The following is a 25093-nucleotide window of genomic DNA, read 5'->3' as shown; positions in this document are numbered from 1 at the left end:
TAGATCAGCCGTGTCCAGCCCTTTGACTACAAGGACTTTTCCACCTATCTGTGGTGGTGGGTAGCATGAAAATTATGCACAAACCTTTTTTTTTTTTAACCCCATCAGCTGTTGTTAGCATTAGTGTATTTTATGTGCGGCCCAGGAGCATTCTTCTTCCAATGTGGCCCTGAGAAGCCAAAAGACTGGACACCTGTGCACTAGATCAAAAGGCTACTCCTTCTGGAAGCAATTGTAAAGAATTTCTGACATTATCTTGACATGAAAACCAATGGGTAGTGGGACAGAATGCAAAATCTTGAAGAATTTTTCTTGTCTTTTTTTTTTTTTTTTTTTTTTGAGTCACGGTCTTGCTCTGTGGCCCAGGCTGGAGTACACTGGTGAGATCAGAGCTCAGTGCAGGATCAAGTGCTCCTCCCGCCTCAGCCACAGTAGTAGCTGGGACTACAGATGCGCACAACCACCCCTGGCTAATATTTTATTTTTTGTAGAGATGGGGTCTCACTATATTGTCCAGGTTGGTCTCAAACTCCTTGACTCAAGGGATCCAGGAAAGGATAACAGGTGGGAGCCACCACACCTGGCTATGTGCATGAACTTTTAAGACAAACACAAGGCCCCACAAAAGTTAAGGTTTTTCCCACCTAATTTCCAGGGGGATCTTTTGGTGCAAGGCTGAGAAGCCCTTAAAAGTACACAGACAACTCCAAAGATTCAAGACAGTTCATTCGGGCTGAGCCAGCCCACTGGGCAGACTGACCTTCCAAAAAGACCCACCCATGACATACACCAGATGGCTCTCCAAGAATCTCTTCAGTCCTCAGGGTCCCTAACGTACTGGACAGAGCTAGGAAAGCAAACCCATTTGCTTCTTCCTGCAGGAAACCCCTTGAGGTTAAGACCCCACAATCACATGAGGATGGAGTGGCTCACCCTCAGTCAACAGGCCAGACTCAAGGTGGTATAATGTCTTAACCGCGGGTGCGGGCCTCCAGGTCTGACTCCCAACTCAGTTCTTCTTTAATAACCACACTTTGTTAATTTTCCTTAACAGGGGTTCCTGGCAAGTCATTTCTCCCTCGGGCCTTCGGTTTCCTCACCTACAAGATGAGAGGGCTGGACCAGATGGAAATTCAGGGGGTAAGGGGATGTCCTCACGCAGCCCACCCCCACCCCCACGGGACCCTGGAGCCTCCATCCCAGTTCCCACCACGCACCCGCTCCACAAATCCTGCCCAAGGTGAGGGCTGGTCCTGGGTCCTCTGGCTGCCGCATCAGCGAGTGCAGGAGGGAGGGGAAGCCTCCAAGGGGGTGACGTGGGCTCAAAGATGCAACTCGGCCAGGAGTGAACTGGGGCCCCCGAAGGAGGTGTCCGGGCCGCTCCTGGAGCCCAGCCCGGGTCCCCGAACCCCTTACCTCCAGGGTCTGTATCTCCTGCTGGGTGAGGTCGTTAGACACAGCGCACTTGGTGCACAGCCCGCACAGGCTGCCAATGAAGATGACGATGAGCTTCTGGAGCTGCCCGCACTGCTGCAGCGCCCGGCTGGCCGCAGCCCCTGTGCCACCCTCCGTGGCCGCCGCATCACCCCCACCACCGCCCTCCTTCTTCTCTCCCACCGCCTCCACAGGCAGCGCCACTCTATGCAGGCCACAGGGGCCTAGGCAAGGAGCCCGGGGCGCCGGCGCCTAGGCAAAGAATCCCTGAGCCAGGAGAGCTGGACCAGGAGCACCCCTCGGCGCTGCCCTTGCCAGGACGCCAGTAGAGCTGGCAGCCGAGTCTGCCGCTCCTGCCCTCAGAGCCGTGGCGGCGGGGACAAAAATCCTCGGTGGCGGGGGCAAAAAGTCGCGGTGACAAAAAGCGGCGGCGACCGGGGCAAAAAGTCGCGGCAGCAAAAAGCCGCGGCGGCGGGGGCAAAAAGCGGCGGCGACAGCGGCAAAAAGCCGTGGCGGCGGGGGCAAAACGCCGCGGCGGCGAAAAAGTCGCTGCGGCAGGGGGGCAAAAAGCCGTGACAGCGGGGCGCAAAAAGCCGTGGCGGGTAAAAGGCCGTGGCGAGTAAAAAGCCGCGATGGCAAAAAGCTGCGGCGGGCAAAAAGCCACGGCGGCGGTGGGGCAAAAAGCAGCGGCGGTGGCGGAGGGGCAAAAAGCCGCGGCAGCGAGGGGGCAGAAAGCCGCGGCGGCAAAAAGCCAAGGCGACGAGTGTGCAAAAAGCTGTGTCGGTGGTGGGGCAAAAAGCCGCGGCGGTCAAAAAGCCGAGGCAAGGTGGGGGCAAAAAGCCGCGGCGGCGGAGGGGCAAAAAGCCGCGGCGGCGGGTGTGTGGCAGAAAGCCGCGGCGGGCAAAAAGCCGCGGCGGCGAGGGGGGCACAAATCCGCGGCGGGCAAAAAGCCGCGGCGGCGGGGGGTAAAAAGCCGCGGCGGGCAAGAAGCCGAGGCGGGGTGGGGGCAAAAAGTCGCGGCGGCGGGGGGCAAAAAGTCGCGGCGGCAGGGGACAAAAAGCCGCGGCGGGTAAAAAGCCGTGGGGGCAGGGGGGAAAAAGCCACGGCGAGGAAAAAGCCGCGGCGGCGGGGGGGGCAAAAAGCGGCGGGGTGCAAAAAGCGGCGGGGTGCAAAAAGCGGCGGGGGACAAAAAGCCGCGGCGGCAAAATTCGCAGCGGCAAGGGGTCAAAAAGCCGCGGCGGGCTAAAAGCCCTGGCGCCGGGGGGGCACAAAGCAGCGGCGGGCAAAAAGCCGAGGCGGGGTGGGGGGAATAAGCCGCGGCGGCGGGGGGGCAAAAAGCCGTGGCGGCGGCGGTGGAGGGCGAAATAATGGAGATGGAGTGGAAGGCCGGCACAGCTTGGCATTGCTGGAGTGCGATGTGATAGGAAATGAGCAGCCAAAGACAAAAAGATGTAAGTAGGCTTGACTCATTGAAGCTAAGAACCCAGATGTTATCTTGAGGGTATTAACTAATAAGCAGTTTAAATCAGAATGACACATTCTGATTTGTTTCTTGTACGTTCACATTTGGCAGGCATAGATACTGTTTGAAGAGAGAAAAGTCAGTAGAGAGAGGTAACAAACTTAAATATGTGCCAAGTCTAGAAACAAGAGACCAGGGGGATAGGGACCTTTCAAAATAAAATGCAAGATTTGAAAACTGATTGGCTGGGGGATGAGGAAAAGGCAGGTCTTTAAGGTCCATCCCTGTTTTGCTTTAAGTTGTTAGGGGGTGGTTTTATCACATGTTGTAGAATATGTCATTTCAGTTTTGAACATCTTGAGTTAAATTGTCCTAGCATATCTTATGAATTTGATTTTCTTCCCTGGGAAGCTAATATTTCAAACACTTAAAGAGTATATAGATTTCCAACTTGTATCCAGTTTATAAAACTATCTCTAGGCTGCTGATTTCAGGAGGAGGCTTATGAGTATTCTCCTTGCAGAGAATATATCAGGAGTTAACAGCAGCTTCAATATTTGTGGATGACCAGTTAACTAAGCCACCTCTTAGTGTCTTTAGTTGGGAAATCTTAGCTGAAGATATTCAATAATGAACCAAGAGTGACTAAGAAATTCAATATTTAAGTATATTTCATTGTAATTAATTTGAATTGAAGTAGCCATATACAGCTAGTATTTACTATATTGAACAATGCAAATAAGAGGAAAAAATTAATAACCATCTCTAATACCACATGCCAAAATCCTCATCAATTTATTCTAGCTAAAGGAGTTGATCAGAAGCAGTAGTTGAAAGCACCAACTAAACCAGCTGGGGTTAGTTCACTGTCATTCTCTCAGAACCATCTCTCCTCTGAACAAAACAAGTACAAGAGTTCATTGTGAATCTGCATTCTCCTTGCCTATTTTAAGGTTTTGATGTTGACGCAAATTTGTGAAATCCCTCCTGTGGTGTGATATTTCGTTTTCCTTGCTTTGTGTTAGGACAAGAATGCTTCAGCTCTTAATTTAAAATTATGTTTCTCCCTCCTAGGTTGAGTGAACTTAGAATGCATTCTCTGACATATCCAAGATTTTGTTAATATGAATTTCGGGAAAAAAGCATACTTAATTAGCTAAGACGTCTTATTCTAAGCTTGACCCTATGTTCGACATCTTTTGAATTTCTAGTTGCATGGGCTGCTCTCTGACACTGGTTAGTGACCTGGAAGCTCTATTAATGTTAGGGGAGGTGGTGTATGAGCATTAGAGGTATCCTTGCAAGGAAAGACTTGTCTTATCTCAATACGTCTTTTTTTTTTGCACAGAAGAAAGTCAATGTCTGAGTCTTCTAAAATCTTCCTATTTCCAAATTGCAGATTATGATTGATTCCTAAACAAAGACCTAATTTTTGACTCAGAGACGTGGCAAGCTAGTGAATCACCATTATAATTTAACAATCTTCAAGATAAAATTATCTCTGATATTTAGATTTTGCCCAATTATTAAGATATTTGGGTGTTTAGTTAAGAATGGAAAACTCTAGTCTCTTGAGCAGAGACTATAAAGGCCTCAGATGATCATTTTTAATTTTATGCTCTTTTCTTTAACACCTTCAACACAGTTGGAAGCAGCCGATATTCCCCAGAGTTGTTGTGTTTTTTAAACCAAATGCATGGTTCAGTGGTAGAAAACTGGGCTGATCCAAGCTGTTTTCAGTAAACACTTCATTTCAGGTGACCCATTTCATATTAAATAATCTCTAGATCCTGTCTTCGAAACTAACTAGATCAGATAAACTACCCTGGATTTTCTCTTTTTAGGGTCTGAGAGCTGCAGTCACTTTTGTGAAAATGATTACAATGACAAGATAGAGTTGTAGATGGGGAAAATGTTTTGACTAATTTAAGCATAGTGGTATTTCATATGAGAATTTAAGTTACACACATTTGAAAATTATAATGGAGTCTCTTGGCTGAGCTTTAAAAAGAAATAGCGTTTAGGCTAAAAAGGGAACTGCTACCTCTCCTAAAATCAGAAAGATGTTACAGTAATTCTCCATTCTCTAGAATTATCAAGAAGCACCTTTGTGATGATTTACTTTTGCTCTTGCGAGTGTGAGCCCGTGTAGTCGTGGAACCATCAATTAGAATGGTGGCTTTCTGATCCCAAAGTCACTCATTCTGAAAACAATATTTTTCATAAATTTGAAAGTGAGAAGTTTTGATCTTGCCATTCCCAAGTAACTCTCTTAATAAGAGGCATCAGCATGCTTCAGTGACAGCTGTCACCTTCCATTGCTGAGAGTCATCTTTGAGTTCTCTATTTCACTCCCTACACTCCAATTTAGCTGCAGTTCTCTTGGCCAGTCCTATGAAATACATCCATGGCCTAACGACTTCTCACCACTACTACCACTCATGCTGACAGCATTCTCACCTAAGTCACTACCTTTTTTCGCTGGATTAGAGTAGCCTCCCAATTTATTTGCTCACATAACCTATTTATTCTACACAGTGCACCAGATACACCCCTTTGAAATGCAAACACAATCATATTATTCTCTGGTGAAATTATCTCATATATTCCTATCGCATTTAAAATTAATTCAGAATCATCCCATGATTATCAAAACCCTACATGCTCTTCCACAACATGGTTTACTTCCAAGATATCTCTTCAACATTTTTTTCACTGTACTGAATTGGTGACTAATAGTCATATTTTTGTTTTTGCTCAAAAAGTCTTGACTTGTAAATTTTTCAGTTTCTCCTTTATCCACAGGTAACTCTTTCCTGATAAGGCGAATTGCTTGCTTCCTTGAATTCTGCTCTCAAAGATACCCTTCATTTTCTACCTAATATTAATAACTTTAATCATTCATTATTCCATTACTATGCTCTATAGTGTATACAATTTCTGTTCTTTGTCATGTTATTAACTAAATTATTTATTGGGTCCAGTAACGTATTCCATAAATATTGTACACATAAAAATTGTGTTATTTTTATTCCTGTATGCTCAGCTGCCCAATAACAGTCTGAGGATTAACATATTTGTTAAATGCTCAAATACATTCTTTCACAAATATTAGTTTAATAATTTTATATTAAACTCCCTCTATACTTACAATATGAATTAGATAATTCAGAATAAACATTCCATTGGAAAAAGCTACACAATTTGTTATAAAACATCCTTAAAAGCATCAGAAAATTAATACAGCAATGAAGAATTACAGGACCAAATTAAGAATGGTATGAAAGCCTGTTTGTGACGCTTATGTTTGGGTTATCTCTTTATTTGAGTGACTATAAATCTCAAAAGAGAACTAAAGGGAGAAATAACCATATCTACTAACATGCTAAGGGTACTTAAACATCTCTTAGTAATTGAGAAAATTGAAAGAAAAGAAAAAAGAGAAAGGGAGAAAGAGAAACAGCGAAAGGGATAATGAAGGCGAGAAAGAAGAAGAGAAAGGAAGAGGAAGAAAAGTAAAAAGGAGGAGGGGGAAGGAAGAAGGAAGAAAGGTGAAAAGAAAGAATGGTAAACTTTTTAACAACATAATTTATCCTTCTAGAATATGAATGTTGGTCTATTTGATGATGTCCCACAAATTCATTAGTCTCTGCTCATTGTTTATTTTTTATTCTTTCTGTTTCTCAGAGACAGTATTTTCCATTTTCTTCTCTTCAAGTTCATGGCTTCCTCTGTGTGTGCAAATATACTCTTAAATCCCTCTGGTGATTTTTAAATTTTTATCATTGTAGTTTTCCACTCCAGAATTTGTTATCTCTTTGCTGATATTCCTACTTTTTAATATTTTTTCTGATTCCTTTATTTCTTTGTTTATGTTTTCCTTTTGACATTTGAGTATAATGAAGAGAGTTGTTTTAAAGTCTTTGTCTGGTAAGTTTGATGTCTGGGTTTCCTTAGGGATATTTTCTGTCACTTTATTTTGTTCCTTTGAATGAGCCACACTTTCCCATTCTTTGTATGCCTTGTAACGTTTTTTGAAAACTGGACATTCTAATAATTATAATTACTATGTGGTTACTCTGTAAATCAGACCTCCCCCTACAAACACAGTAATGTTTTGTGGTTTTAAATTTTCTTTACTTATTATATTGTTAAGGATTTTTTTTTTTAGTGAAATTTTCCAAAGTGATTTACAAAACTGTTTGGTTTATAAGGTGTGGTCACCGAAGTCTTTTTGTTTCCTTAACAAATGTTAAGCTAATGTTTTGACAGTGATTTTCTGGTATGTCAGGAACCAATCAAACAGGCATATACAAGAAAAACAAAAAGAAAAGCAAGTAATCATTGTCCAGCAAAATATGTCTGTAGGCCATGCAGACTGGCTTTGTGCTGGGTTCTTTAAAGCCGGCACAAAGTGTGTGTTCACTCTTGCACTGAGTGAAGTTCAAGTTCACTCTTGCACAGAGCTTGCACTGAGGGGAGGGATCGGCCAAGGTAAAAGTGTAGGGTCTTCTTATGACATTTGTCAGCATGTGGCTTAACCTATGAATACGTGTGACTTTGTAGACTCTCCCATGTACGTGAATGAGGCATGCGCCACCACGCCCAGCTAATTTTTTTGTGTTTTTAGTAGAGACGAGGTTTCTCCATGTTGATCAGGCTGGTCTCAAACTCCCGACCTCAGGTGATCCACCCGCCTCGGCCTCCCAAAGTGCTGGGATTACAGGCGTGAGCCACCACGCCCAGCAGATTTATTTATTTTTTAATCTTTCTTTTTTTTTTTTTAGGCAGAGTCTTACTCTGTCACCCAGGCTGGAGTGCAGTGACACGACCTTGGCTCACTACAACCTATGCCTCCCCAGTTCAAGTAATCCTCCCACCTTAGCCTCCTGAGTAGCTGGGATTACAGGCGCCTGCCACCACACCCAGCTAATTTTTGTGTTTTTAGTAGAGACAGGGTTTCACCACATTGTCCAGGCTGGTCTTGAACTCCTGGCCTCAAGAGACCCACCCGCCTCAGGCTCCCACAGCGCTGGGATTACAGGCATGAGCCGCCATATCTGGCCTATTTATTTTTTAATTTTTCAAATGAGAAGGTTGGGTTAGGTAATTTTTAAAAATCGCTTCAAGTTTCTTAACTCCACAATTATTTTCCTGAGACTCTTGCAAGCAACTGATCTTTATAGGTCATGCCTCAAATTCCCAATTGATGTCATCTGGGCAAATCAGTCCAATGACAGCCACAAGTGGTCAGAAAGCTTTCTTAGCAGCCCTCTTGGTCACTAGGCACACTACCTAGGAGTCAAGCTGTGACAAGAGGCTGCTTCTTAAACTTACAAAAGATAGGATCTTCCAGGATGTGCTGCTCTGATGTTTTTGAAGGGCATAGAGAAACACACGGGCAATGTTTGCAGAGGCAACAGACTAAAGAAAGCACATCTATAGTTGTATTGGCTTTGTGTGGGTTGTATGGTAAACAGGTAGTCACCCTGCTTAATGTGGGTATCCCATTTTCCATAAATGTCTATTTCACCACCCCAAAAAGCCCTCTTATCATGAAATTAATCATCTGATGCACTTCAAGTACCAGTCACAAAAATGATGAACTCAGGCAGAATTCCACTGCTAGACAAGCCCAGACAAAAACTGTTACTGTTAGCCAAGGAAATTTGCACACAATTTTGATAAGTGGCACTAAAGCCACATAAGACAGGAAATGGGTTAGAGGACATCAATGTATTGAGACAGAAAGTGAAAGGGTGGGCAGGATTTGCGAGGTTACCAGTTTGAATATGGCCATTCCTGCTTTTACTAAAGGTCAATTTAGAATACAAATGTTACAGAATTCATTTAGAGCCAAAAAGTAATTCTGACAAAGACTGTCTTAAAATGCAAGATTTTTAGGTCCAAAATTTCTTACGTAACCTAAAAAATGGAAATCTTCACAATGTAATGAGATTGGGTCATTTAAATAGTGTTATATCTAACCAGTCCAGACAGACCAGCTAAACAATCCTATTATTAAAAGCCTCTAGAGAGTGTTCAACAAACTCCTTAGATAATGAAGCTTGGGGCAGCAACACATCCCTCATTATAGTCAGAAAGTTCTCTTAACATGTGAGCCAGGTTATTGCGTGCATTTATGTTTTCCCACATGCTGCTCTTTCCTCAAGGAATGCGATTCTCCTCCCCGACTCCCTGCCTGGTTCGCTCATTCTTCAAGATCAAACACAAAAGTCACTGTGTGTGTGATGCTTCTCCAATTCCACTCATCCTGGCTGCCATTCATGCACTAGTGCATGTATGCATTTTTACATTTTTTAAATTACAAAAATCAACCTATTATAACTGCTTAGATATATATGAAGTAAAAATGAAAGTTCTCCCTTTACATGACCCATCCCCCATCATTTCCCTCTTTATCTTATACTGTCAGCATTCCCAGCTTGTAGCACAGTGTCTGGCAATAGTAAATCCTCAAAAAATGATCAATGAATAATTTAATAATGATTAATAAATAAATTAATGATGATGGTGAAGATAAATTTTTAGCATTTATTGAACGCTAACTACAAACCAGGGAGTGTGTTAAATATTTTATAAAAATCAATGAATGAGCTAAAATGCCATTCTGTTATTTTTTTGTATAGGTTTTAATATTTTACTCATAAATATGCTTAAAGAATATTATAATTATATGACTTAGATTGTAAAACAATATGTACAGCAGTGTCCTATTTTTTAGAATAAAATTATAAATATGTGCTCACATATGTGTTTGTGCATGCATAGAAAACAGATTAGAAAGGAATATATTCTAACACCATTATCTCTAGCTGGTAGAATTATGGAAAATTTTTATTTCCTTCTTTTTGCTTCTAAATTTTATATAATGAGCATATTTGGCTTTGTATAATCATTTTTAAAAAGTTGTTTTAGAAGAATAGTACTGATATATCATTCCCTTTTAGCAGTTTTCTCTAGGATAAAAAATAAGAGGAAGTCTGAGCTTAACTAATTAAAAAAACAGATTTCTTTAAAAAATATTAGCAAATCATTAGTGTTCTTACTGGAGAAAGGGCAGTGTTCAAAGAAGAATTAAACAAATCATTCCAGTTGCAGGAAAAATTCAATTTACTGCATGCAGACTGTTTCTTGACTGAAAAGTTAATTCCTTTCATTCAGAATCAGTATGCATATTCACTGGCTATATTTCATCTCACATCTGCAAACTTAATTTTTCCTTTCTTGGTCATCAGAAGATTAGGAAATAAATTTTAGTCCAGGCAATAGATCCTACTTGGCAAGCTCAAAATAACTCAATTATTAAAAAGCAGCACACAAAGACCAGTAGTGACTTCCAAAGGATTGTTAACAATACTTAAAAAAAAAAAAAAAAAAAGAAAAAGAAAAAAGGGTCCAACTGTCTAAAAGAAGACTAGAGATACATGAATAAGAAAATACGATGTTTTGGAATTATGTGCAAAATAGTAATGCTGCATATTACCCATCCTTTAAGTTTTAGCAATAATTAGAAAAAATAGTTTCCCAACAATAAAAGTTATAAAATAATGTCATCATATCACCTAGAAGAGATTATAGATTTTTATAAACAAAATATGTGTTATTATGAATATTTGTATGTACTCTCCAAGAACTAAAAGATGAAGTTCCCCTTTCAGGATCCCCTGTGCCTGAGAAGGAAACTTTCCAGTGAAAGCCTACTAGCTAGTTAAAAATTTCTTAAAAAAGAAAATCTTCTTAGTTGTATACTTGGGAGCATCCTTTCTCTTGGGCGGATCCCTGTTAGACATATACAACTTTTAATGTTTGCACCTTTAAGTGTAGGGATGGTCTCTGAGTATGCCCACATTCGTATCTAAGATATTCAATGCCTGTCCTTCAGACACTTAACAAGGACTCTGAGTTCCAAATCTCCCTTGAGTGCTGCAGTGCATGCTGACGCTCTTTAAAAGCCATAGCACTCCCTTACTGTGAAATAAAACTGCTCTGTCTCTTGCTGGTTGGCTCTCCTCTTAGCAATGCTGGGCTTGCTCATGAAGGTTTCAGAGACCGTGGACTTGACGGACTCCATGGAGTTGCTGTACTGGAAGCAGTCAGACACATCAAAGTCCTCGACAGTCACAATGTCCTGGATGGTTTGCAGGGTGGCCTCCATTGTCTTCTTTACCTGCCACGACAAGGGCCAACAGGATGCATGAAGGGTGGGTTGTTAAACAGCAGGTGATGGAGAAGCTTGAAGAGAGTGGGCTGGGGAAGGCCACAGGATGCCATCAGAGTGTGCAGCTCTGCTTCCCACTGGACAGTGCTAAGTGAGAGGTAAACATCACATGGACTCTGCTACAGCATGCTACTCTCTACAGTGAAAACCTAAAAGCCACTACAACCCTTCATGCTATGTACTTGACCCAGATCTTTTAATGTTTACTTTTAAAATTTAATATTAGCATTATTATAATATTATATAACAACATTATAATAGAAGTTTTAAGGGAAAGAGAATAAAATAAATCTAAACCAACCCCCTCATACAAACAGCTAATTAAAATGTGTGATGGGCCTAGTACTGCAAAGCCCCAGGTTCTGTTTCATGACCTTCAACAAACTGATGAACTTGTTTGCTCATTTGCAAACTAAGTGACCTATCCCTACTTCTTCCTGATCTTCCTGCAGAAAGTAAGACTTACTGAGACACAAGGTAAGAAGCCATCTGAGCTCAACAGAAAGCTGGATCACCCGCCCTTTTGAACCGCTTTTTGAAAGCAAATACACTGAGCCCAGAAGAAACTCACCCTTTCCTAAGAGGATGGAGATGTTTGAAGTGTCAAAGTCAAAGGCCTCTGTTTGTTTGAACATGCTGGAAAAAGCTAGGCATGAGGAGGTGGTTTCAGAGACACAATATTGTTCACACAGCTGCCAAGTGCCATTTTGATTAAATGTGTAGAGGGGAAAAAAAGCATTTCGCAAAAGCTCAAAATAGAGCACAACCTTTGGCAATGCAAGAGCAACTTCCTGGAGTTCAAGGGCAGGATGTAGCAGAGGGGGAAAGTCCAAGCCTACATTTGGCTAGGAAATGTTTGCGGCCGCCCGGACATTCTCTGCATGCTCCTTCCACCTGCTCCCAGACGGGCAGCAGCAAAAGTTTCAACAGGGAAACTAAGAGTGTGGCTTTGAGCCTCCTAAGGAAGAAACTCACCTCTTCGTTTTCAATCTTTAGAGTGGATAAGCGAGACTGCAGTTGTTGGCATCTCTGTACCAGCTCACTCTGGACAGGCTGCTGGGCACAGAGCTGGGAAGCCTAACAAAAGAAAGCAACACCAGGTCAGAAAGAGGATACAGTCCCTTTGGCAGTTCCAGAGTTCCCATTACTGGCAATGAAACTACCCATATTCAAGGTATAAGGCTCGTGGTTTCTATGTTGAAGCAAAACCCAAAGCCAACTTGTGTGAGCCTCTTCCAGGACCAAACAGTACATGAAAGGAATGGGTAGGGGGATCTGTTTGGAGCCCGGCAGGGGTAGGTCTATGTAGGGTCTGCAGCTCCATGGAAGGCTGAGGAGGCTGGAGAAGAGTGCCTCAGGCAGCTCCGGCTCCAGAAACACAATGCTTTGGCACAGTGAAGATTTCCTGCCAAAGGTCCAAGTGGCCACCTCTCTGGCCCCTCCCTCATCCCCCTTCATACACCAGAGTGAAAGCAGGAGAGAAGTGGGTCAGGAGGCTAACTTGCCACTGCTGGCAGCCAGCATGTGTTTACAAATCCAGGCCATGCTTGAGAGCTTTGATTCAATGAGAAAGCGTGAAGCCAGGAACAAGTTCGTTGCCTATGCTAGAGGGCCCGAGAGGGTATGGAATCTGAAGGAGCTTGGCATTTTCCAAAGAGCCATCATTTTACCCCAGGCCTTCCCTAGATCTGTAAGAGAGGAGTCTGACCTTCCCGCAAGGATTATTGCCAATTAGCTTTCCCCTGTGTGAAGGAATGGCTGTTCCACTGTCTCCCATTGGAGATGTGGTTATGGGATGAGGTCATCCACAGTCCCCTGGATGACAGATGAGAGCAGAAGGCTGAGAGAGTTGGGAGGCAGGACCCATGTGGAGACAGCTCCTGTCACCTTGTTACCGTTCGTCCTTTAGCCTCTTGTCTGCAGAGAGACATCTGGATAGAAATGGCCTCCTTCCTCCTCAGCAAAGAGTGGGCACATTCACATGCCCACGGACCATTCCCTTGCTTGAAAAGAAAAAACCTTTCTTCAAATGGAGGGGGCTGGGACTTGACCTTTTCCTCCATTGGCTTTTAAGCTCCCAACTGACTTGACCTCTTCCCCCAGCTGAGAGGCTGGCCTGAGCCAACTCTCAGATCCACAGAGAGCTGACTTCACTCTAACTCTTGGATAAGCAGACACAATGGAGAAAGCTCAGTGGCCAGAACCGGTTAGCGCCAAGAGTGAAATTCTCTGGCTGCCTGATGTCACCAGTCAGGCATCCAGAGTCCCACAGCCTCTGAGGGCACCAAAAATGGAGCCAAGCACCTCCTCCTAGTACATCTGAGAGCACTTGGCATCAATTCATGTGCTGTGCACCCCAGAACACCAGTTAGTGTGGGACCTTGGCCAATTTTAAGGCTTCCGGTCAAAATGCTACCCAATCTTTGGCCCTAGTTCAACGACTTCCAGGCAGCTCCCTCCTGTTGCCTCCACAATCTGCAGACAACCCACACTGATGGGGATAGACTGGCTGCAGAGGCCAAGAATGACCCACCCTCTCATCTCTTTTTATTTCACTCATATGAAGGCTAGGCTAGAATGCGGAACCTTCACAAGCTCCAGGACTGGTCCTGGCCCCTGCCTGGCTCAGCCACTGATCAGCTATATTACATAAAGGGAGGGCCCTGGCAGAAGAGTGAGCTAGCAGAGAGGAATCATGGAGGGAAAAACCACCTCCAAGCCTGTTCCTTTAAGAAGTAGCAGAGCTGATGATGATGTATGCTTTGACAGTGGTCCGCTACCAGGGTGCAAGGTAATACACTTCAGCTGCACTCCGGAGTATGGAAATAAGGCTCTGACAGGGGGAGAAGGGGGCTTGAGCACCCAGCATCTGGATTCCTCCTTTATGGAGACAAGCTGTTTGGCTCAGAAGGCAACTCAGTCACTAACACCAGAAAATGTATCACTCCACTCAGCTGGTCCCCAAGTTCCACTGATCCCTGGGAAGGAACCTCAGTGACAGCTGGAGAAGGTGCTTGGAAGGCAAGTTTGACCAGAAGCCAGGGCAGGTGAGGAATGGGGCTTCCTGAGGCTTGGTGACACCCCTTCCCCCAATTCTAATTGCACATGCTGCCATCTCACTTCTCCATCTGTTCAGACACTGACATTTCCTAAGCCACAGCAATGGAAATGAACTGTAAATGGTTTGATTTTCCCCAAGAAGGAAAGGAAGGAAACCAACTCCACATTTCTATCTCCAGGACAGCGTCTCACTCTCCATAGAGGCCAACTGATGACAGCAAATCCTCTGGTTCCACTGCCACAGCTGTCATTCTGGAGTGGGGATTTCTAGAGTCTGGATGCTAATCTTAAGGGAAGCATCATTCCTGAGGAGCACACATGTTGCTGTTTTTTGGTCCCCGGCGTCCACTCCTCCTTTTTTTGGTAGCTTTGGTCTAACTGCCCTCGGCGAGGGGAACCTCCCACTCCACAACTCAGGCCACGTGCTTTGCATGGACCCAGGCATAAGCACTTTACCCAATCAAAACCAATGAGACACACAAACTTTATGGGGGCTTTGAGGAGGGAGGCAGAGACTCTTTCCACTAGATTTCAACCTACCAGGGAAGGCTGGAAATGCAGTCACCTTGCCTCCATGGGAGAATGGCCTGTCTGAGAATGGAGTTAACACACAGGAAGTAGTACAGAGACAGCAAAACAGTGTCTTGGTAAAATTCCTCCTCCTAAAGCCAACTATACCCAAAGGTCCATCTTGATCTTTTCTATCGCATAAGCCCTATACAACCTCCTTCTAATTTCACCAGTAGGAGAAATGGTGGCTCTTATCCACAGGAATGAGGTTCACTCTGACTTGTACACACAACCACACAAGTGGAACCAAAAGATTCAGAACTATGAAAACCCAGGAGCTTCTCCTGCCTCTCACTTTAGCTTTTTTAGGCCCTTTTTATTCTAGTCACTGGAGGCTAAGAGTCCAAAACAAGGCCCCCATGTTCATGCTCCCCTGTCTGGGCAACCAGCATCAGGCCTTTGGGATAGCATCTTAGCTCCTTTCCTTCCTGCAGGTACCCATTCTTTTTTATTCAATACCCAAACAAAACTATACACTTCATCACAGTCTTCTAACTTCAGGAGAATAAGATTATTCAGAACTCTGCCAAACGCCAAAAGATCACAGCATTCCCTACCTAGCCCTCGCTTCCCCACTAAAGCCTCTAGGATGTGGCCCCACCTCAGCTCTCATTTCTTCTAGCCTCACCACTGGGAGCGCCCCCCTCCCTCACTTTCCTTTCACCATCCTGAACTGTTGGTAGTTTTTAGAATATACCTGCTGTTTTTCACCTTCTTTGATCCTGCTGGGCCCCTTTGGATACCCCTCTCTATGCATAGTTTGAACCCTCCTCAAGCCTTAGCGACCTTATTCCCCAGACTGTAAGCTCCCCGAGGGCTTTAATCCCCCATGTCTGCACCCAAGCCCGAGTGTCTGACAGCAGGCACTCACTAACTGTTTGCTCAATAAGTGGAATGTGCCTCACCCACCTGACAAAAAGCCGGGCCCAGGCCTCTCCCACCCCAGAATAATGTGCCTTCTGTGTAATTAATCTAGACAACTCCACTCAAGCCCCTTGAGGGTGGGGGTATAGGGAAAGGGCCTCACCATATCCCCCATGTGGGGCTGAAACTCAAACTTCATAGGGGGGCAGAAGACGTTGTTGTACATCTCCATGAGGCGCTGCTTGTCACTGGTGGCATCCAGGTTTTCTACTGCATTCTCGATGGCATCCAGACCCTCATGCTTCGACTGTTCCAGGTTTAACTCAGCAGAGAGGAAGGTGCGTAGAGCCCGGTTCAGACTTGCATGGTAGCCTAAGTCACAACACTGCTGTGGGAAGGAGAAGGCACATGAGCACACCATGGACAGCCCCAAGGCTTGGCAGAAAAGGAAGGTGGTCCAGAGGGCAGATCTGACCACATCAATAGGCTTGGCTGTGCAGTAGAAAGACGGCTGACATTCCGACTTCCAAGGTCTGGGTGAGAGTTCTCAGTTCTTGACTCCCAATTCAACGGTTAAACACACCCTAGAGGGCTGTGAGGTGGTTAGGAGGAAGAAGACTCATAAGGATAAAATGACATTATTTAATTAAGCGCTATTTCATAAACATGAGAAGAATTGAGAGTTAAAGAGAATCCTCTTTCATTTTCAGGTTTATCTGGGGTTGTCATTATAACAAAATTCAACAATAAAAATACAACCTGCCACTCACTGAGGGTTACTGTGGTTAAATCACTATATAGCAACCAAGCCAGGCCATTTCAGGGTTCTGAAAGCAGGAGTATTGCAACAGCAGCTAATGTATGCAAGCTCAACTCTAGATGGGAGAAGGAGAGAATGGGGAGCTGACTCTGTGGGTCATCATCCCCACCAATGCCCAACATCCTAGGACAGGCCTTAGCTGCAGACTAGGGTTTCTGACATGCCTCCTCCTTCCTGGCATCTGACAACAGATGGCCCTGCACTACAGAAATAGCATTTATAAGACTAAAAAGCTCTACGCAAAAGTGTTACTGGAAAAATTCATGCCATGTAAAGGATTCTGATTTTTTACAACAAAATGCAAAAAGAGGCAACTGTATAAAAAAAGCACTGGCGCAGAATCAAGCAACCTTGGAAAAGCCACTCCCCTTCTCTGGACCTGTTTCTTCCATAGTAAAATGAACAGATTTGGCCAGGCTAGTGGCTTTCAAGCAGTAGACCAGAGCTGGCACTGAAGCTGCCCTTGAGAAGTGAGTAAAAGGACAGCCCAACTACTAGGACTTGGAGTCTTCTATTCCTCCTTCAACCAAGCCAACCCTGCTCTTTTTTCTATTTAATATTTAGGGATTCTATGTAAGGTTTGGTTTGAAGAAAGAATTCTTCTGTTAGAGAAAAGTCTGAAAATCCTTGGACTAAATGTAATCCCTAAGGCCCTCTTCAGCAATGGCATTCTGTAACTCTGTGATAATATTCCCCATCCCTCCCAAAAGACCCAGAGATCCCAATTCCTTGGCCATCCATCATCCTCTCTATTGCTTAAGCAGCTCTGAGGTCCGGGTCCTGAGAAGAAACCTCAAAGAAGAATCTATGCATAGAGTAAGGCCATCTGCCTGATTGCCATTTCATTGCACAAGCAAGCATCAAATTAACTCTCCCCACAGCCTTTTCCTCTCATCATGATCACATTGGAAGCAGCTACTATTGGGGAAGAAAAGGCATATGATGTGCCTCCTCTTTCCTGGCATCTGACAAGAAGCTCAGTGAGAACATCAGTTGGGTTGGGCTCTGGGTTCAGTGCCAACAGGCCCTGGCAGCTGCCTGGCTGCAGTGGAATAACAGCAGTTACAACTTAACTAGAGGCAGAGGATGGAAAGACATTAAATTCAGTTGGGAGGGAAGAGCAAATGGAAGCTAGACAAAAGTGGCTCATTAGGACGCTGCACGGGCATGGGCTCTCTGGGAGATGCTGCTGGTCTCACCAGGCTGCCCTTGAACCTGTAAACCTTCCTGACTAGCTCTATGTAGACCCTGTTGATGAGCTCTATGCCTATAAGTCTAATGAACAGAAGTAACACGGCCCACAGAGTGTATGAGTGTGGGTGGAGGGGGTGTGGGCAGGGGGTAGAATCTGGGAGAGAAAAGTTACCCTTCAAAAAACTTTTACCTGTTTTTGGTAATTTCCCTTTCCTCTCCATTCTTACTACCTCTACCCCTATTCATACCCTCACCGTCAGCATCACTGTCCTAAACTGTGACTTTAATTATGGCACTTTCCTGTTGAAGAACCTAAAATACCTCTCATTTTTTTTCCCCAAGGTAAAATCCACCTTCCTCAGTTTTGAAATTTAAAAAATGCTTCTATTTCACTAAGTATGCTTACTATACGTCAGTCCATGTGCTAAGTGCTTTATATACATTCTACATTTTAATCCTCATAATAACCCCAATGAGGTTGGTATAATCTTAATTTTCCAGGCTTGAAAGCTGAGGTTCAGTGAAGTTAAACAATTTGAGCAAGGTTCAATAGCCAGAACAAACTGTAATCTGTCTTCAATCTACCCATCCAACATCAACTCCCTTTATTTTCTTCTTCAGATTCATCTGCTCTAATCCAATGAGATACTCTCTGTTTAGGGTAGAGTATTAGTCTTCAAATCAGCTATATGGCCATAAGCAAGCTACTTAATCCTTCTGGGCCTCAAATGAGGATAACACCAGCCACACAGGTTGTTGTAGGCTAACAGGCAATATATTTACAGATATTTGGTACCATGTAGACACTTTTAAAAAATACTAATATAGCTCCAAATCCACTGACCTCTGCCCTTCAGCTCCCAGAATGTCCTTTTCCTTAAATGTTTCCTATGCCTCTCACCTGTTGGAATTGGACCAGATCTTCAAGATCCAAATTAAATTCTTAGCCTCTGGGAAGCCAGCCAACCCTGCAATCCTAGACTCCAGTGACCCTGGCCTCTACTTAGAACCACACTAATCTGCAGCTTTCATATGACAAGGAATACGCTTCTTCATTCTATGACTTGCCATGTCATATCACCCCAACCAGACTAGCTTCTCACTCTTCTTTACATCCCTCAGCATTAGGCCTTGCTCACAGCAGGCATTTAATAAATTTCAGTTGACTGATTGATACCACAAATACAGATTCCAGCCTCTCAGGAAATAAAACATTTAGGCTGAATACTGACCTAAGTCAAGTGGGTAGATGGGGCCAGTGAAGCCATTTGTTTTGCTTACTCTATGGCCAAAGGGAGGCTGGGAGTTTTCCCAGGCTGGCGCACTGCCTCTGTTTATATAACTATTCTGTAGCTTCTTTGTGCCAATGAGTGAGGGTCTGAGTCACAATGTGCCCCTGGCTCCTCTACACCTCTAGCCAACCAGGCAGATTCGGAAGAGGTTCTCCAGAGTCTTGACTATCTATATACCTGTAGGGGAAACAGTCAGAAACCGAGCCTTCAGCGAAGAAGCAATATCTGGCAAGGTTGGGTAAATGAGATTTGAATATTTCATCCTGTTCCAAGAAGAATCCCAATAAGTACAGGAAGCACATTATTTTGCTCACAGTGGGGACAAAGCAGGCTTTCCATGGCTTCTGATGAGTTCTGTGGCCACGCTGGACTCCCCTGGCCATTTCTGGGTTATATAAATGTTTGATGAAAAATCTCTCAGGGGAAATCAAATTTTTGTAAGAAGTTAATGACAGCCCATCCAGATGTATGATGACTTGAGTTGATAGCTCATTAACCCTTTCCCAGCTGATATCTTCACCCAGAGACTCCACAAGGCCTGGAAAGGAAAAATGGGTGTTTCACAGTTCAGGTTCACACAAAAGAGAAAAATAACTGTCCTTAATGACATTTCTTACTGAAACAGCCAAGTTCCCTCATGTCCGACTTGGGTGCACATGGTGTCAAAGACCTTCCATACATGTACACGGCACTTACAACACTCCAGCTATGCATGAGGACAATGCCCTGTTCTTCATTCATCCATCTGCTCCTGGGTTGAGAGAGCCAGAAGAGTATGGGGGAGGAAAATTACATTCCAGTGAGCCTACCATTCTTAGATGCCATCAAATGAGCTCAGAACGTCTTTTTGGCCTGAAGTCAAGGTTTCCCCAGTGTGGCAGATGCCTCACGTGGATTCCTACAGTCTGAAGTTTAAATCTTGTACTATACTATAAAAAGAAGTCGGAGGCTAGTCCTTGGTCAATGTAATGGCATCAACAAAAATAACTTCTTTTCACTTATCCTCAATGCCTTATGCACACATTTGGCTTCAGAACCACTAGGAAGGAGGCAGAAGGCTGTACATGACACAGATGGCAATGGACTGCAACAGGATTCATCCCGTGTCTTAAAGCAAGTAATGAATAATGTTAAGATCAGGATGCCAATATCCCAGGCTCCTCACTTAGTCCTGCTCTAACTGCATCCTTTTGGCCCTTTTTATCTCATAGGTCAGCAAGAAAAAGAAAGACACTACCGATACATGCAAACAACATGGATGAAATTCAAAAACATCATGTTGGCAAAAGATGCCAGACACAAAAAAGGATAATCCCATCTTTGTGAAGTTCTACAATGGGCAAAACTAATTTATGGTGAAAGAAATCATAACAGTGGTTGCCTTGGGGTGGGGGATTGGCTGGGAAGAGACAAGAGAAACTTTCTGAGGCAATGGAAAGATATCTCTTATCAAAATATTTTTTCTATATCTTGACATAGATTACAAAGATGTACAAATTTGTCAAAACTCTTGAAACTGTAACACTTAAGTTTAGTTACTGTATGTAAATTATACTTCAAAACCATATTGAAAGGTACAAAAAGAAAAACCGATCTTAGCTTAGATGATCATCTTCCTCCTCTTTCTATTCCTTTCTTCCTTCAGTAAACACACTATGTGCTCAGCTATATATTAAGCACTGGAGGCTACTAAGGTAAAGAAAACTCTTGGTTCCTGCTCTCACAGAACTTAACAGATGAGACTGAGATCTTCCTCTGTTCATAGTACAATGGCTCACTAACACTTTTTTGACTCCCAACTCACAATAAGAAACACATCTTCTATTGTCACACACTTCCCCATAGGATGTACAAGTGTGTACATACATATCTAACATAAAAGTTTCACATAATCTTACCAATGTGATGTACTCTAATATTTTCTTTCTTATTCTAGTCTCATCTAGTCATCTGAAAACACAGGTTAAACCAATAAAAGTGATTTCCTGACTTTCTTAAGGGATCTGACCAATGGTTTGAAAAATGTTGTCTTACAGCCTATGACTACCTCTAGGGTGAGAACTACTATAATCCATTTTTACCCCAATACTGAGCACGTGGCTTCTCCCTAAATAAATATTTACTGAACATTTATAGAGCAGAATAATACAACTTTAAAAAAAATAATGAATGTGTCCATATCCCAGGAAAAACAACAAAAACCCAACCAACCAACAAACTAAAACAAGACACAACCAAAACAGCAGCAAAGAAACGAGGCTGAGGCAGGCGGATCACGAGGTCAGGAGATCGAGACCATCCTGGCTAACACAGTGAAAACCCGTCTCTACTAAAAAAATACAAAAAATTAGCTGGGCGTGGTGGCGGGTGCCTGTAGTCCCAGCTACTCGGGAGGCTGAGGCAGGAGAATGGCGTGAACCTGGGAGGTGGAGCTTGCAGTGAGCCGAGATCGCACCACCGTACTCCAGCCTGGGCGACAGAGAGAGACTCCTTCTCAAAAAAAAAAAAAAAAAAAAAAAGAAACATGAGAAACTTTATTACTACCTATGTAGCCTTTTGATCCCAGTGATCTAGACCCACACCCTGCCAAGTACTAAGGCAGCCTCTTTTTCAATGGCATGTCACACCACATCCTGTGAAATTAGGCTCTTAGCAGACGTTTTTTTTTTTTTAAATGATGAAAATAAGGTACAAAATACCTCGCTTCTTGGACTGATTTTAAAACACTTGGTTATACCTGATGGAGAATCTATGGATTGCAAAGGTTGTGGCTGATACAGCAGTAACCCCTCCCTTCCCCTGAGATCAGTATTTCGGTGAAAAAGGTAGGGAAGTTGCCTTGAGTACAAAAAAAGAGAAGAGGGCTAACCAATAGCAGCGGTGTGGCAGACAGCACAGTCTGAATTTTTACCAAATGCGAGATAAATAGCAGAAATTGTGCATAAGAAAGAATGGATTCTCTTCCTTATGCTGAGAACAGGCCTCTCTCCCAACAATGAGGAGCTCTTCCCCTGAGGAGGAGAAAGGATCTTGTTTAGGGCTTTGACCTCCATTGAAGGACAGTGTTCAGATTGTCATCAACAAGCAGAGAGAACAAAGAGGTACCAGAACAGGGAGCAAGGCTCTACTAACCCAGTGAGACAATGACACCTAGGGCATTAAGTGGCTGAAATCTACTGAATCAAAAATCCTCGGCTAAAGGGAGACAGGAATCTGTATTTTAGAGAAGTTCCCCAAGCAACTCTTACGTGAGGCCAGATTTTAATACCAGGGAATTAGTCCAGTTCTTCAGTTAGCTAGAGGAGCTTGGGAGTGGGTGAGAAACAAAGCTGGGTTCCAGAACAATTCAGTGACAAGCCTAGATGACCCAGGTGGTGATATAACAGCAAGACTCGGACCCAAATCCCATATGATGTTGTGAGGTGTGGCAGGTTTGCTTGTGGAGAAACCAAGGCAGGAAAGCAAGAGTGGTCGGGCCAGAGTTTTGCAAAGCCCAACTGCTGCCAACAAGACCCTGAAACAAATGGCAGGCCTCCGAGATGAGATACACTTGAAGCCCCAGAGACTGGGATGCTAAATTGGCTGGCTCCAGATGCCTCACTTTGATGACTGGAAGGAGAGGTGAGAAAGGGTGTAATTACATAGCTTCACTTAGGTGTGGCTCAGGACCTGGGCCAGATTGCAGTCTGTAGGTGAGAGGGCTTGTAAGACCCAACTGTAAGGGGAAGCAGCAGGAAAAACAAGGCCAAGAATAACTCACAGGCAAAAAACAAAAAGCTTATCTCTGCGCTTGCCCCTTGCAAAACACATGTGCCTATTAACCGCTTTCCTCAATCCCCTTTGCATCACATATTTTTAAAAATGGGCCAGATGTCAGGGGGAGCTGGATACCTTCCTGACAGGACCCTAATTTGCAGCATAACCTTGGACAAGTGAGTCTCGTAGTCCTCTGGACCTTGAGCTTCCTTATCTAGCAACTGGAGACAGCAATGCTTACCCATAATGGTGATGTGAGAGTTAAATGAGTTAACACCGAGAAACCTTAAATGCTATACAAATATAAGGGATGGCATTGTAACTCTTTAGTTAAGTTCTTGCCACTCACTTCTGTGCAAGAGAAGCTGATGTAATAAAGTATTTCCTAGGTCGGGTGCAGTGGCTCACACCTGTAATCCTAGCACTTTGGGAAGTCGAGGCAGGTGGATCACCTGAGGTCAGGTCACCTGAGGTGAGGAGTTCCAGATCAGCTTCACTAACATGGTGAAACCCCATCTCTACTAAAAATACAAAAATTAGCTGGGCATGGTAATGCATGCCTGTAGTCCCAGTTACTGGGGAGGCTGAGGTAGGACAATTGCTTGAACCTGGGAGATGGAGGTTGCAGTGAGCCAAGATTGCACCACTGCACTCCAGCCTGGGGGACAAAGCAAGACTCTATCTCAAAAAAAAAAAAAAAAAAAAAAAGGAAGAAAGTATTTCCTGGCAGATAGACGAGTGTAGTGGTTATGAGCCTGGGTTGAGTCATCAGGCCTAGGTGCAAATTTTGCCTCTGTCATTTGTTAACTGACTCTGACTAAGTCATCTAAACTCTCTGTTAATCTGTAAAAATATAGATAATAATGCCTTCCTCCCAGAATTCCAGTTAGGATTGAATAAGTGTGAAGTGTTTCACATGGTGCTTGGCAAGCACTCTGATGGATCATGGCTGCTATCTTCCTAATTGTTCTCAAAATGCACCAGATTCCTGAACAATAGTATCGGGAATGTCTGACGAGTATTCTGAAACCAGAAAAGAGGGGCCCTCAGGCCCTTGGCTTTAAGCACTTACATCAATAAGGTCAGATAGGTCATGGATGTAGTACTTGAAGACAGATGCATTGGTTGCCTCCAAAGCCAGCAAGTACTCATTCTGGGCTTTGATGGCCTTCAGCTTATTCTCCGTGTACTTGGCTTGGTGCTGAAAAGGAAACAGAAGTTCACTTTTACCTTTTTTTTTAAAGGGGGGCTTGTTCTCTAAAAGATAAAAGTACAGTGTATTCAAGAACTACAATTGTGTTGCTACTCCCTATGCGCATCTGCCTTAAATTGGGTTCTAATTCTGTTTAATGAGATTCAAGGGCACAATGTAGATCAATTCAGGAAAGGTTAATGAGGCTCCCTACTTAAGATGCGTGCCCCGCTTTGATTCTATCTTCAAATATCATTCTTCATTCTTGCAATGCCACTCTGAAGGAGGTACCACTACTCTTGCCCCTGAACACCTGATACCTGAAACCAAATCCTAGGTTTACAGTCACCCCCAACCCCTCCAAAGCAATAGGATATTGAGCTCTATTTGGAAAATGGATTGGGAAAGGTGACTGCTGTTTCTTGGTTTTCTGCTAGAGGCTAGAATCTTGGATCCCACGTGCCCAGTTCTTCCAATACCTAGTATTCCTGCCAGGGCACAGAGCAAGGCCTCATTTTCAGTCATTAGGCACTAAAAGAACCCAGAGCTTCCTCGTCTGCTCTTCCCAGTGACTATTGGGAAATTCCTATCAGCCATGCCTTACCGAATGTTGCTTCCCAGCATCTACAGCTGTGGGAGCCTACATACCTTCTCCTTCATCTTCTCAATCTTCTTCACTGAGCTCCTCCGGACATGTTTCTCCTCAATGCGAACGTTGGCCGTGGAGTCAGGGGAGCATGGGGTCTGCCGGTCCTCCTGCTTTACCGATTTACCAATTTGCTTCTCCTCCTGCTTCTCCGCCTCCTTTAGTTTGCTCTGAGCACTGATGCTGTCGGCATTGTACATGTGATATGTCTTCATGACCTGCAAGACATCGCCCACCCCCACCCCCAGAGGTCAAGCCAAGGGGGTCATTTCTCTGCTTTACAGACTAACAGACTCAGCTGGAGCTCTCCCCCATGAAGCAATATCCTCACACCCCTAAGGGAAAAATCCAGAAGTGTTTGGTTCAGCAAACACAGATTAAAGACCACTCCAAAGCACAGGAAAGCAATATGTGAACTGAGCCAACATTTCCTCTTATTGAAATAACTTAATGTCTATCCATCATGTATTATTTATTTCTATTCATTATCATTTGTAATCATTTCTCTTTAATATTGGCCAGGTGATTTCTATCACTTAGTCACCTCATAATACTGAGTAG

The 25093-nt window shown here is 43.8% G+C and overlaps 2 protein-coding genes and 1 long non-coding RNA gene across 8 annotated transcripts in view, besides 1 other annotated feature; 1 reads left to right on the top strand and 2 right to left on the bottom strand.

Moving 5' to 3' along the window:
• The window catches only part of LINC02798 (long intergenic non-protein coding RNA 2798), a 67558-nt gene extending 64409 nt beyond the window's left edge, over positions 1-3149 (bottom strand). The window contains exons 1-2 of one of the 5 annotated variants that reach the window (XR_007066534.1): positions 1417-1798; positions 934-1100 (exon numbers count right to left, since the gene is read on the bottom strand). Coding sequence is in view for 2 of the 5 variants with exons in the window: in XM_047438024.1 (XP_047293980.1) it covers positions 1794-2837 (1044 nt within the window). In the remaining 3 variants the exon portion in view is untranslated. Of the gene's footprint in view, positions 1-317; positions 1117-1416 lie in introns of those variants that run through there. The other 4 variants (XM_047438021.1, XR_007066533.1, XR_007066532.1 and 1 more) reach the window with 4 other exon arrangements.
• The window catches only part of SRGAP2-AS1 (SRGAP2 antisense RNA 1), a 37750-nt gene continuing 13472 nt past the window's right edge, over positions 816-25093 (top strand). Inside the window, exons 1-2 of the long non-coding RNA NR_104189.1 lie at positions 816-958; positions 1055-1240. This is a non-coding gene — a long non-coding RNA (SRGAP2 antisense RNA 1). The remainder of the gene's footprint in view (positions 959-1054; positions 1241-25093) is intronic.
• Positions 2778-3072: a silencer, noted in NCBI's record as "tiled region #13946; K562 Repressive non-DNase unmatched - State 4:PromP". NCBI's record gives its function as "represses a minimal TATA promoter and a strong SV40 promoter by Sharpr-MPRA in K562 cells {active_cell/tissue: K562}" and the evidence as "EXISTENCE:reporter gene assay evidence [ECO:0000049][PMID:27701403]".
• Positions 5847-25093, bottom strand: part of SRGAP2C (SLIT-ROBO Rho GTPase activating protein 2C) — a 207900-nt gene continuing 188653 nt past the window's right edge. The window contains exons 6-10 of one of the 2 annotated variants that reach the window (NM_001329984.2): positions 24535-24750; positions 23767-23895; positions 15796-16020; positions 12114-12215; positions 5847-11087 (exon numbers count right to left, since the gene is read on the bottom strand). In NM_001329984.2, the coding sequence (NP_001316913.1) occupies positions 10866-11087; positions 12114-12215; positions 15796-16020; positions 23767-23895; positions 24535-24750 (894 nt within the window). In that variant the 3' untranslated portion in view covers positions 5847-10865. The remainder of the gene's footprint in view (positions 11088-12113; positions 12216-15795; positions 16021-23766; positions 23896-24534; positions 24751-25093) is intronic. The other variant, NM_001271872.3, reaches the window with a different exon arrangement.

The sequence above is a fragment of the Homo sapiens genome, chromosome 1 (assembly GCF_000001405.40).
Source record: "Homo sapiens chromosome 1, GRCh38.p14 Primary Assembly".
Classification (NCBI taxonomy): domain Eukaryota; kingdom Metazoa; phylum Chordata; class Mammalia; order Primates; family Hominidae; genus Homo; species Homo sapiens.
The sequence above is the reverse complement of the archived record's forward strand: the minus strand, read 5'-3'. Positions and strand labels throughout refer to the sequence as shown.